The 14,184-nt window shown below is 48.5% G+C and overlaps 1 protein-coding gene across 2 annotated transcripts in view; it reads right to left on the reverse strand.

Annotated features, from left to right (window-relative positions):
* Window positions 1-14,184, reverse strand: part of SPDYE10 (speedy/RINGO cell cycle regulator family member E10) — a 51,424-nt gene that overhangs the window by 10,836 nt on the left and 26,404 nt on the right. Inside the window, exon 2 of one of the 2 annotated variants that reach the window (NM_001382505.2) lies at window positions 514-699. The gene's annotated coding sequence lies outside the window, so the exon portion shown is untranslated. Of the gene's footprint in view, window positions 1-513; window positions 996-14,184 lie in introns of both variants that reach the window. The other variant, NM_001382504.2, reaches the window with a different exon arrangement.

The following is a 14,184-nucleotide window of genomic DNA, read 5'->3' on the forward strand; positions in this document are numbered from 1 at the left end:
TTTAGCTTGATGAAAATCCTGGTTTGGGAACAGAGTCAGCTCCACAGCGGGTCATCTGATTTTTTTTTTTTTTTTTTTTTTGAGACGGAGTCTCGCTCTGTCATCCAGGCTGGAGTGCACTGGGCTCACTGCAACCTCCGCCTCCCGGGTTCAAGCGATTCCCCCACCTCAGCCTCCCGAGTAGCTGGGATTACAGGCACCCACCACCACGTATGACTAATTTCTGTATTTTTGTAGAGATGGGGTTTCACCATGTTGACCAAGCTGGTCTTGAACTCCTGACCTCAGATGAACCACCCGCCTCAGCCTCCTAAAGTGCTGGGATTACAGGTGTGAGCCACCACACCTGGACTGTTCTTTTCTCTTACGTTTGGTCACCTGGTGCCTCTGAACTCCCTCTTCCACTCTCTCTACATCCTGATGCACAATTTATTTGAAAAGGAGGAAACATTTTCCGTCCCAAGTCCCTTTTTACTCCTTTCTTTCCCAACAAAACCTGTACAGAATCCTCACACTACTGTGTTCTGTAGAGGAGCGGAGAGGGAGACCAGTTCTCCACTCCCCTGGCCCTGCTGACACCTGGAGGGTGCCAGGCATGTTCATGGAAACAGCAGCATTGCAGCCTTCCTTCCTTCCCCACAGCTGTATCCGTGTGAGTCTGGACAACAAGGACTTGTCAACACGAATCTCTCTCTTCTCCTGGTGTAAGACAGAACAAAAACAAAAGACGTTGGAGTAGAGATCAGAAAAGGGTGGGTTTGCGATGTTTGGGAGGGTTGAGTGGGCATTTTGACAACTTAGCTTCTCCTTGGGTGGTATTTAGCAGATGCCCTTGTGGTTTAAACTGTAGCTTTAGATATAAAATCCACTCCTGGTCAGGTGCGGTGGCTGACGCCTGTAATCCCAGCACTCTGGGAGGCTGAGGTAGGCAGATCACGAGATCAAGATCAGCAGATCGAGACCATCCTGGCTAACACGGTGAAACCCCATCTCTACTAAAATAATAATTAAAAAAAATTAGCCAGGCATAGTGGTGGGCACCTGAAGTCCCCGCTACTGGGGAGGCTGAGGCAGAAGAATGGCATGAACCCAGGAGGCGGAGCTTGCAGTGAGCCAAGGTCATGCCACTGCACTTCAGCCTGGGCGACAGAGCGAGACTCTGTCTCAAAAAAAAAAAAAGAAAAAAGAAAGAAAATCCACTTCTAATGCTACCTGGGGCCCTGCTGCTTGATGGAGAAACTGAAGAACGTAAAGGATCTTGTTTGAGGGTTTGTGTTGTTGTGTTGTTGTTGTATATTTGTTTGTTTTGAGGCAGGGTTTTGCCCTTTCACCCAGGCTGGAGTGTGGTGGCACAATCACAGCTCACTGCAGCCTCGAACTCCTGGGCTCAGATGATCCTCCTGCCTCAGCCTCCCAAGTAGCTGGGATCATAGGTGTGCACTGCCATGCCTGGCTAAATTTTGTTATTTTTTTTAGGGACGAGTTTTGCCATGTTGCCCAGGCTAGTCTTAAACTCCTAGGCTCAATCTAGCCTCCCACCTCAGCCTCCCAAAGTGCTGGAATTATAGGCATGACCCACTACACACTACACCTAGTTTTTGTTATTTATTTATTTCTTAGAGACAGAGTCTCCTCTGTTGCTCAGCCAGGCTGGAGTTGAGTGGTGCCATCATAGCTCACTGCAGCCTTAAACTCCTGGGCTCAAATGATCCTCCAGTCTCAGCCTCCCAAGTAGCTGGAACCATAGGTGCACATCACCATGCCAGGCTAAATTTTAAAATTTTTTTGTAGAGATGGGGTCTCTGATACTGCCCAGGCTGGTTTCAAGCTTCTGGGCTCACATGATCCTCCTGCTTCAGCCTTCCAAGTAGCTGGGACCACAGGCATGTACCACCATGCCTGGCTTCTATATTTTTGTAGAGTTGGGGGATCTTGCTACGTTGCCCAGGCTGATCTCAAGCTCCTGGGCTCAAGCATTCCTCCCGCTTCAGCCTCCCAAAGTGCTGCAATTACAGGCATGAGCCACTGCACCCAGCCTCAGCCTAACAGATTTGTTTTTTTTTTTTTTTTGAGACAGAGTCTCGCTGTGTTGCCCAGGCTGGAGTGCAGTGGTGCAATCTCGTCTCACTATAACCTCCACCTCCCAGGTTCAAGTGATTCTCGTGCCTCAGCCTCCCAAGTAGCTGAGAGTACAGGGCATGCCACCATTCTCGACTAATTTTTGGGTTTTTTTTTTTGTTGTTGTTGTTTTTTAAGATTGAGTCTTGCTCTGTCGCCCAGGCTGGAGTGCAGTGGCACGATCTCAGCTCACTGCAAGCTCCGCCTCCCGGGTTCATGCCATTCTCCTGCCTCAGCCTCCCGAGTAGCTGGGACTACAGGCGCCCGCCACCACGCCCGGCTAATTTTTTGTATTTTTAGTAGAGACGGGGTTTCACCATGTTAGCCAGGATGGTCTCAATCTCCTGACCTCTTGATCCACCCGCCTCGGCCTCCCAAAGTGCTGGGATTACAGGTGTGAGCCACTGCGCCCGGCCTAATTTTTGTATTTTTAATAGAGACAGGGTTTCACCATGTTGGCCAGGCTGGTCTTGAACTCCTGACCTCATGTGATCTGCCCCTGCTTAGCCTCCCAAAGTGCTGGGATTACAGGCATGAGCCACCATGCCTGGCCAGATCTTATTTGGAAATGGTATTCTGCATTGTAATTTTTGTTCTGTTTTATTTTTACATTTTCTTTTTATGACATATCTAGGATTTGCTTTAAAACATCCCAGCCAAGAAAAAGAGGGGAAGGGGAGGACAGTTTGGAGCACATTGGCAAAATCCTGATTGCTATTTAAGCTGGGCAGTGGGTCCATGGGGGTTCACTGTACTCTTCTGTCTACTTTTGTAAATGTTTAAAAATGTTTGTTGTAAAAAGTTCCTTGGTTTTCCTTATGTTTCTCCAGAGAGGAAAAAAGATGTTCAGTTTTATATCTTAAAATGTACAAGCTACCTTGTTAGAATAAAACTAAATGTGTATGCTGCTGGGCACCAGGGCTCATGCCTGTAATACCAGCACTTTGGGAGGCCAAGACAGGTGGATCACCTGAGGTCAGGAGTTCGAGACCAACCTGGCCAGCATGGTGAAACCCCTGTCTGTACTGAAAATACAAAAATTAGTCGGGAGTGGTGGTGCACTCCTGTAATCCCAGCTGCTCAGGAGGCTGAGGCAGGAAGATCACTTTAACCCTGGAGGAGAAGGTTGCAGTGAGCTGAAATCGCACCACTGCACTCCAGCCTGGGCGACACAGCAAGACTCTCTGTCAAAAAAAAAAAAAAAAAAAAAAAAGCCAGGACTAGTTCATCAAGAAGCAAAATAATATGACAAACCCTACTTAAATGATTTCATCTGGTTTCAACCACTGCCAGCTGGTTTGATCCAGTTTCAGCTGGTTTCAAATGACTTCATCCAGTTTCAGCCAGGTTAATTCAGCTTCAGCTGGTTGTGAACAGTTTGTGGCTCCTTTCAACCAGTTTCAGGTGGTTTCAGCCAAAGTCATCCAATGTTGGCTGGCTCCAACTGGTTTAACTCCTGTTTCAACTGGATTCAGCTGATTTCCACTCTCCTTAAGGCTGTGCTGTCCAATTCAGTAGCTCCTAGCTACATGCAGCTCTTTACATTTAAATTGATTAAAATTAAAGGAAGGCCAAGTTCGCTGGCTCACCCTGTAATCCCAGCACTTTGGGAGGCCGAGGTGGGAGGATCACTTGAGGTCAGGAGTTCGAGACCAGCCTGGCCAACATGGTGAAACCTTGTCTCTACTAAAAATACAAAAAACATTAGCCAGGCATGGTGGTGGGTGCCCATAGTCCCAACTATTCAGGAGGCTGAGTCAGGAGAATCATTTGAACCTGGGAGGTGGAGGTTGCAGTGAGCCGAGATCACGCCACTGCACTGCAGCCTGGGCAACAGAGCAAGACTCTGTCTCAAACAAATAGATAAAATGAAATCAAAATTTCTTTTCTAGTGTTACAGGCAGAATGTTTGTGGACTCTCCAAAATTCATATGTCAAACTCCTAACTCCCAATGTGTTGGTATTTGGAGGCGAGAAGTTTGGGAGGTGATCACGTTGAGAGGAGGTTATAAGGGTGGAATTCACTTGATGGGATTAGCAGCCTTTTGAGAAGAGTCATCAGAGAGCTTGCTTCCTCTCTCCCTGTCTTGGTCCATTCTGGCACTGCTATAAAGAAAAACCTGAGACTGGGTAATTTATAAAGAAAAGAGGGGTGTTTTGTTTTGTTTTGTTTTTGGAGATGGAGTTTCGCTGTCATCACCCAGGCAAGAGTGCAATGGCACGATCTTGGCTCACTGCCACCTCCATCTCCTGGGTTCAAGCCATTCTCCTGCCTCAGCCTCCTGAGTAGCTGGATTACAGGCGTCTGCCACCACGCCCAGCAAATTTTTGTATTTTTAGTAGAGACGGGGTTTCACCATGTTGCCCAGGCTGGTCTCGAACTCATGACCTCAGGTTATCCACCCACCTTGGCCTCCCAAAGTGCTGGGATTACAGGTGCAAGCCACCACACCCAGCCAAGAAAAGAGTTTTAATTGGCTTACATTCCATGGGCTGTACAGGACGCATGATTCTGACATCTGCTCAGCTTCTGGGGAGGTCTTAGGAAACTTACAATCATGGCAGAAGGTGAAGGGGAAGCACGCACATTTCACATGGTCAGAGCAAGAAGATGAGAGAGAGGTGGGGAGGTGCTACTCACTTTTAAACAAGCAGAGCTCATGATAACCTTCTACCATGAAAACAGTACGGAGGGGATGGTGCCAGCCCATTCATGAGAAATCCGCCCCGTGATTTAATCACCTCCTACCAGGCCCCACCTCCAACACTGGGGATTACAATTTGACATGAAACCTCTTTTTTTTTCTTTTTTTGTTTTTTTTTTTTTTTGAGACACAGTTTCACTCTGTCGCCCAGGCTGGAGTGCAGTGGTGCCATCTGGGCTCACTGCAACTTCTGCCTCCCAGGTTCAAACGATTCTCCTGCTTCAGCCTCCCGAGTAACTGGGATTACAGGTGCCCACCACCACACCCAGCTAATTTTGTATTTTTAGTGGAGACAGGGTTTCACCATGTGGTCCAGGCTAATCTCGAACTCCTGGCCTCAGGTGATCCGCCCGCCTTGGCCTCTCAAAGTGCTGGGATTACAGGTGTGAGCCACTGTGCCCGGTCTCGGCATGAGATTTAAGCAGGGGACACAGAGCCAAACTATATCACTCCCCATCATGTGAGGATACAGGGAGAAGACAGCCATCCACAAACCAGGAAGTGGGCCCTCACCAGACACCAATCTGCTGGTTCCTCAATCTTGGAATTGTGAGAGAGAAATGTATGTTGTTTAAGCCACCCAGCCTATGGTTTTCTGTAACAGAAGCCCAAGTAGACTAAGATACTCAGTCACGCTGCTCACAATTCCAGTGCCTACAAGGGCCAGGACCACATGTGTTCAAGTGGCCAGCATATTGGATGGTGCATTCATAGAACATTTCCATCACCACAGATGGTCCTTCTGGGCAGCTCTGCTCTCGGGAGGAGTTCAGATGTAGAGATCATGGCAGCAAAAGTCTCTCAGAGTCAGGTGAGAGGCAAAAAGATAAGTCTGTTATTGGCTGGGTGCGGTGGTTCACACCTATAATCCCAGCACTCTGGGAGGCCGAGGCGGGCAGATCACAAGGTCAGGAGATCGAGACCATCCTGGCTAACATGGTGAAACCCTGTCTCTACTAAAAATACAAAAAATTAGCTGGACGTGGTGGCAGGCACCTGTAGTCCCAGCTATTCAGGAGGCTGAGGCAGGAGAATGGCGTGAACCCAGGAGGCGGAGCTTGCAGTGAGCCAAGATCGTGTCTCTGCACTCCAGCCTGGGCAACAGAGGGAGATTCTGTCTCAAAAAAAAAAAAAAAGGAAGTCTGTTATTAACACCAGGAATGATCATTGTCACTTTTTTTTGAGACAGAGTTTCACTGTTGTTGCCCAGGCTGGAGTGCAGTGGCCCACTGCAACCTCCACCTCCTGGGTTCAAGTTGTTCTCCTGCCTCAGCTTCCTGTGTAGCTACAGGTGCCCACAACCACACCCAGCTAATTTTTGTATTTTTAGTAGAGATGGGGTTTCACCATGTTGGCCAGGCTGGTCTCGAACTCCTGACCTCAGGTGATCCACCCGCCTCAGCCTCCCAAAGTGCTGGGATTACAGGCATGAGTCACGGTGTCCAGCCCATTGTCACTTTTTACTGAGCACCTGCTATCTACCAGGGAGTGTCAAATGTGTAAAAATGCTATCAGTATGCCTTCCAACAACTCTATAGGGTGGGCATTATCACCCATATTAACAGAGAAGGAAAATGAGGGTTTTTTCCTTTTTTGTTTGGTTGGTTGGTTTTGGTTTTGGTTACTGAGACAGGGTCATACTCTGTCTCCCAGGCTGGAGTACAGTGGCAAGCCTCATAGCTCACTGCAGCCTCAACCTCCCAGGCTCAAGTAATCCCCCCAAGGAGCTGGGACTACAGGCATGCACCACCATGCCTGGCTTTTTTTTTTTTTTTTTTTTAGAGGTGGAGTCTCACTATGTTGCCCAGGCTGGTCTCAAACTCCTGTTCTCAAGCGATCCTCCTGCCTCAGCCTCCCAAAGTGCTGAGGTTACAGGCGTGAGCCACTGCACCTGGCTAGGAAACTGAGTTTTTTCAGTGGTAGAGGCTCCTAGCCAGTGGCCAAGGGAAAGAGAGAGTTCTGGGTTCAGGGGCTGGCAGGAAGTTAGCAAGACACCAGGGACTCAGCTACACTGGCTGGATCTCAGAGAAGAGCAACTGCCACAGTGGGGACCTGGAGCACAAGGGGAAACTGGGGCAGCAGCTGCACCACAGGGTTGGCGGTACCTGATAAGGGAAGAGGATGACTTCCATAAGTAGGCCCACAGGTGCCCAGGGCTCCCCATACCCACTGGGTGCCAGGTCTAAAACCATGAGACCAGTACCAGCACCAACCACTCAAGGAGCTGAGACGGCTGACCCACTCTCTGCCCTGGCTAGGACTGGCCCCAGCACCCCCAGTGGGGAGGCCTCAATGATCCCAGCTGCCAGGGGCCCAGGAACACTAGCAACAGAAGAATGGCCAAAGTGACAGGGAACCCTTGAGACCCTAGAGCAGCAATGCCTGGGCCGGGCCTGATCCTTCCCACCAGCCCCCAGCCATTCCTGGCCTTCTGCCATGCTTCCTGGTTGGTCTGCAAAGTGCCTGGGGCAAATACCTTCTGGGAGAAGAGTAGAGAGGGTATCCAGGCTCCATGGGCCTCAGGATTCCTGAAGTAGGAGGCTCTGATGGGGCCACCCTGCTCTGGACAGAAATTCCCTAGCCTCAGGGACATGTTGAATCTTGTCACCCAGAGGAACCAAGTGGCTGGGTGGTAGCCCAGTGCAGTGGCTCATGCCTGTAACCTCAACACTTTGGGAGGCCAAGACAGGCAGATCACGAGGTCAAGAGATTGAGACCATCCTGGCTAATATGGTGAAACCCCGTCTCTACTAAAAATACAAAAATTAGCTGGGTGTGGTGGTGGCAGGCACCTGTAATCCCAGCTACTCGGGAGGCTGAGGCAGGAGAATCGCTTGAACCTGGGAGGCACAGGTTGCAGTGAGCTGAGATAGCGCCACTGCACTCCAGCCCGGGCAACAGAGTGAGACTCCATCTGAAAAAAAAGAAAAAGAAAAAAAAAAGAAAGAGGCTGGACAGCAAAATAAAATGGTTCCCCAGTTCAGCCTTTGGAGGTACCAACCGTCTGTTAGCAGAGCTCTAAGACCAAATGGGCTCCCACTCCAGGAACGTCCCCCTTCCCACAGGGGCTGGGGAGATGGAGTCCGGGGCTGTGCTGCCCTCTGGAGCAGCAGGTGGAGGCCAAGGCAGCCTCACTGTTCTCCGGGGCCCTGGGAAGCCATGCAGAGAGGCAGAGGTCCTTTATGTGCCAGATGAGGCTGCTGTCAAGGGACTGCAAATCTGCTTGAGGTGTGACATATCTGTTTTTAGAACAAGAACATCACATCAGGAGGAGCCGGTGGCCAGAGCTTGGGGAAAGGGGGGATCCAGGTCCAATTCCCATGTATCTAGGGCACATGTGCACAGCACTGAGGGCCACTCCAGCCCCTCCCCAGCTCTCAGAGGACCCTGCTCCCACCTGCCTTTTGCTCTGCTATCGGGCAGATGGCATTGTCTCTGCTTTGCAACTGATGAAATAGGAACTCTGGCTTCTGGGCTAGGCTGAGAGGGTGCTTGCTGCTGCCATTCCTGGCCCAGGTGAGACATTCGGTCATGAGCATCTGTAGCTCTTGCCTGAGCCTCTGAGCCTGCCAGGGCAGAGCAGAAGCAAATGCATGAAGGCCCCTCCCCCAGGGGCTGCTCTTAGCCAGTGACTGATGAAAATGGGTGTGTAAACAGCTTAGCCACATGACCCCACACAGGTGGGACAACCATGGGTTTCCACATTCTGTACTGCCTCCCAGAGGTCCCCACCAGGTTTAAGCTCAATTGCCCACACTGGTAACTGGTAACTTCCTTGATAGCACTCATTTCTTTTTTCATTCTTTTGGTGTTTTTTTAGATGGAGTTTTGCTCTTGTCGCCCAAGCTGGAGTGCAGTGGTGTGATCTCAGCTCACTGCAACCTCCGCCTCCCAGATTCAAGCAATTCTCCTGCCTCACCCTCCTGGGATTACAGGCATGTGCCACCACACCTGGCTAATTTTATGTTTTTAGTAGAGAGGGAGTTTCCCCATGTTGGCCAGGCTGGTTTTGAACTCCTGACCTCAAGTGATCTGCCCACCTCAGCTTCCCAAAGTGCTGGGATTACAGGCATGAGCCACTGCGCCTGGCCATTTCCTTTCTCTCTCTCTCTCTCTCTCTCCCTCTCTCTCTCTCTCTCTCTCTCTCTCTCTCTCTCTCTCTGGCTGGAGTGCAATGGTGCGATCTGGGCTTACTACAACCTCTGCCTCAAGAGTCCCTCTGCTGGGACTACAGGTGCACACAACCACGTCCAGCTAATTTTTGTGGGGTTTTTTTGTTTTTTTGTTTTTTTGTAGAGATAGGGTTTCGCCGTGTTGCCCAGGCTGGTCTCAAGCAGTCCTCCTAGGTTCAAGCAATCTTCCGGCCTCAGCCTCCCAAAGTTCTGGGCTTACAGACCTGAGCCATTGTGCCTGACTAACACCCCTTTCTTGGCAGCCTTCCTGTCCATATCTGGCCTCTCTACTCCCCTACCTGGGTTTCTGGGATGACTTGCACTTAAGTCCTTGGAGGGAACTTTAAGCAGAAGGATAGAGGAGAAAACTCAGAAATGGTGTGGGACCAGCAGCTTCCCCATTGTCTGGTCTGGAGTGGAGGTGGTCCAGGGATCCGGGGAGCCTGGCTCAAGCAGGATAGAAGTGACATCCAGGCTGGCCATCAGGGGGTGCAGTTCAGCAGCAGAGTCTCCAGGCCTGCTCACACTTGGACTGGTGCAGGATTCTCTTCTGGATAGCCTGTTTAGATTGCAGTAGGACCTGAAGACTTGAAATTGGTGTTCAGCCCTGGGAGAGGGGTCTGGCCAGGCTTGCACAGCTGGGTCCAGGCTCAGGACTGAGGTAGAAGCATAGTATTCATCACAGCTGGAGCAAAAGTCCAGAAGAATGGACTTAACACTCCCAGTGGGTCAGAGGAGAGGCTAGCACGGGGTACAGACAAGATTCTGCAGACAGAGGCCAGAAGATTTTGTAGGCTACAAGATTCCGTAGACAGAGGCTCATGCCTATAATCCCAGCACTTTAGGAGGCCAAGGCAGGTGGATCACTTGAGGCCAGGAGTTCAAGACCAGCCTGGCCAACATGGTGAAACCCTGTCTCTACTAAAAATACAAAAATTAACCAGATGTGGTGGCGCATGCCTGTAATCCCAGCTACTCAGGAGGCTGAATCAGGAGGATCGCTTGAACCCAGGAGGCGGAGGTTGCAGTGAGCCGAGATCACACCACTGCACTGCAGCCTGGGTAACAGAGCAAGACTCTGTCTAAATAAATAAATAAATAAAGAAATAAAATCATGCAGACCTCATCCCCAGGAGGCAGTCTGAAATGGCTCAGGAAAAAAAAAACAGCAGGTGAAATTTGTGCAGGGGGATCTCACCTGAACAAGGATCAGAAAGACAAGGGGTTGTCCCCAAACCTACCCACCCTCCTAGTGGCAGCTGGACCCTGGACCCCCTCACCACCACCAGCCTACCCCATGCTATCCATCACCGGCCAGCTCATGTCCTAAACATCTCTGCATCCCTCCTCTCTCTCCATCCACGCTGCTGCCTCACTGGTCCTGGCCACCACGGCTCTCTCAGCTAGGCTGCAGTCACTTCCAGGCTGGATTCCCCACCCCTGCCCTTGACCTCCTCCTGTCCTCTACTCCACAAGGCAGCCAGAAGAATCTGCCAATGTATCCAGTCTTCTCTTGGGCTAGAGCCTTCTGGTGGCTTCCAATCTGCACCCATCCAAGCCCTTTGTGTCAGGCACCATCTCATCTTCATAAATCCTGTTTCTATTGCCTGGAGGACTCCCCCAGCCCTAACTTCCCCTGTTCCTAAATGACATTTCACCACCCTTCAGATCTCAATGTCACTTTTGACAGAAACCTTAGCCAGGCATGGTAGCACACACCTGTGGTCCCAGCTACTCTGAAGACTGAGGAGAAATGATCTCTTGAAGTCAGGAGTTGGGGGTTGCAGTGAGCTAGGATTGCACCACTGCACTCCAACCTGGACAACAGAGCAAGACCCTGTCTCTAGGCCAGGTGCAGTGGCTCACACCTGTAATCCCAGCACTTTGGGAGGCTAAGGCAGACAGATCACCTGAGGTCAGAAGTTCGAGACCAGCCTGGCCAACATTGTGAAACTCCATCTTTACTAAAAATACAAAAATTAGCCGGGTGTGGTGGCATGCACCTGTAATCCCAGCTACTTGGGAGGCTGAGGCGGGAGAATTGCTTGAACCTGGGAGGCAGAGGTTGCAGTGAGCCAAGATTGCACCACTGCACTCCAGCATAGACAATGAAGCAAGAAAAAAAAGAAAAGACCTTGTCTCTAAAAAGAGAGAGAGAGAAACCCTGCATGGACCTCCATTCATATGGCCGTTCTGTTACTAGAAGGGTCCAGACCAACACAAGAGCACTAGGAGCCAAAGATGAAATTCACAAAAGAGCAATTATGAGAAATGGGAGAAAGATGGAGGGACTGCAACATAGGGCTAATGGAAGTTTTAGAAAAACAGCAGAAAATCACAGAGAAGCAATATATGATGGACAATCAATGAGAATTTTCAAAAACTAGGCTGGGCGTTTTGGCTCATGCCTATAAACCCAGCACTTTGGGAGGCTGAAGCAAGTGGATCAACTGAGGTCAGGAGTTCCAGACCAGCCTGGCCAATATGGTGAAACCTCGTCTCTACTAAAAATACAAAAATTAGCCTGGCGTGGTGGCGTGCACCTGTAGTCCCACCTACTCAGGAGGCTAAGGCAGGAGAATCACTTGAACCCGGGAGGCAGAGGTTGCAGTGAGCCAATATTGTGCCACTGCACTCCAGACTGGATGACAGAGCAAGACTCCATCTCAAAAAAAAAAAAAAAAAAAAAAAGGAAAAGAAAGAAAAAAGAACTAAAGAGTCATACAAGTCCTCAAATCAAAAACATACTCTAAGAACAAACAGCATAAATTAATATGTCTATATAGGGTTCTATCATTATTAAACCACTTAACATCAAGGATAAAGAGGAATTTTTTTTCTTTTTTTTTCTTTTTTTGAGATAGGGTCTCACTCTGTCACCCAGGCTGGAGTGCAGTGGTGCAATCATAGCTCACTGTAGCCTCAAACTCCTGGGCTCAAGCAATTCTCCCAAGTAACTGGGACTACAAGCCTGCAAGCAGGCACCACCATGCCTAGCTAATATTTGTATTTTTTTAGAGATGGGATCTTGCTATGTTGCCCAGGATGGAAATCTTTATTGTTGTTGGTGGTTTTTTTTTTTTTTTTTTTTTTTTTGGAGATGGAGTTTCACTCTTGTTGCCCAGGCTGGAGTGCAATGGCGCCATCTCAGCTCACTACAACCTCCACCTCCCGGGTTCAAGTAGTTCTCCTGCCTCAGCCTCCCGAGTAGTTGGGATTACAGGCATGCACCACCACGCCTGGCTTTTTTTTTTTTTTTTTTTTTTTTTTTTTGTATTTTTTTAGTAGAGACAGGGTTTCTCCATGTTGGTCAGGCTGGTCTCAAACTCCCGAAGTGAAGTGATCAGCCTGCCTCGGCCTCCTGGAGTGCTGGGACTACAGGCCTGAGCTACTGCGCCCAACCTCAGGATGGAAATCTTAAAAGTTACTAGGCCAGGTGTGGTGGCTCATGCCTATAATCCCAGCACTTTGGGAGGCCGATGTGGGCAGATCAGCAGAGGTCAGGAGTTTGAGATTATCCTGACCAACATCATGAAACCCTGCCTCTACTAAAAATGAAAAAAAAAAAAAATTAGCCAGGCATGGTGGTGTGCGCTTGTAATCCCAGCTGCTTGGGAGGCTGAGGCAGGATAATCACTTGAACCTTGGAGGCCAAGGTTGCAGTGAGCCAAGATCACGCCACTGCTCACCAGCCTGGGCAACAATCTGTGAAGAAGGAAAAAAGAGAAGAGAAGGGAAGGGGAGGGGAGGGGAAGGGGGAGAGGAAGGGGAAGGGGAAGGGAATGGAAGGGAAGACAATTAAAAAAAAAAAAAAAAAACAGGCAAAGAATATGAACAGGCAATTCACAGAAGGAAAACCCAAATGACCCACAAACATGAATAGATGTTCAACCACAATGACAATCAGAGAAATTGTAAAAATAAAGCAGCAACAATATATCATTTTACATTTATCAGCTAAGCAAAAGCTAAAGTCTGATAATCCCAATTATTGATGGGTGTGTAGAAAAAGGAGATTCTGACACATGCTGGTAGAGTGTCAGTTGGTATAAGCCCTTGGAGAGCAAAACAGAGATATTCACCACCCTCTTATCCCAACCATTCCACATACTATTCTACGTAAATATCTTGCAGAGAGATTCCAGCACTAGTGCTATAGAATACATTTACAGGAATGTTTATTGCAACATTGTTTAAAACAAGAGAAAAAAACAGAAACAAAGTAAATGTTCACCAACAGGAGACTGGATAAACAAAGTATAATGTATAATGGAATATGTTGTAGCAGTTAAAATAAAGAAAGAAAAGCTACATATATCATTATAGTCTACGTAGTATCAACTTGGATAAACCTCAAAAGTCATTAGTAGTGAGCAAAAAAAGCAGGTTGCAGAAGGATACATACAATATGATACCAGTTATATACAATGTTTATGGTTCAACTTTTCCAGTCTGGTTTATTGAGCTACAATTTGCATACAGTGAAATTGACTAGTCTTTGTGTACAGTTTTGTGAGTCTGGCAGAATGCATACCTTTAGGTAGACATCATCACAATCAAGATATAAAAGGGTTCCATCATTCCCCAAAATTGCACACTGCCCTATTGTAGTCAAGTCTTACCCCCACCTCACATCTCCTGTAATCATGGAGCACATAGCATTTTGAGTCTGTCTTCTTCCACTTAGCATAATGCCTTTGAGATTCATTCATGTTGTTGAGTATCTCAACGGCTTTTTTTTTAACTGCTGAATAGTAGTCTACTGTATGGATGTACCAATTTATCCATTCTGTAGTTGAAGTGCATTTGACTTGTTTGTACTTTGGGGCAATTATAAATAAACTGACCATAAATATTTGTGAACCGACTTTTGTTTGAATACAAATTTTCATTTCTCCTGGTTAAACACCTAAAAATGGGATTGCTGGGTCATGTGGTAAGTGTATGTTACATTTATTTATTTATTTATTTATTGAGACCAAGTCTCACTCTGTCGCCCAGGCTGGAGTGCAGTGGCACCTTCTCGGCTCACTATAGCTTCTGCCTCCCAGGTTCAAGTGATTCTTCTGCCTCAGCCTCCCAAGTAGGTGGGATTACAGACACCAGCCACCATGCCGGGCTAATTTTTGTATTTTTAGTAGAGATGGGGTTTCACCATGTTGGCCAGGCTGGTCTCAAACTCCTGACCT

Source organism: Homo sapiens, chromosome 7 (assembly GCF_000001405.40).
Source record: "Homo sapiens chromosome 7, GRCh38.p14 Primary Assembly".
NCBI classification, from domain to species: domain Eukaryota; kingdom Metazoa; phylum Chordata; class Mammalia; order Primates; family Hominidae; genus Homo; species Homo sapiens.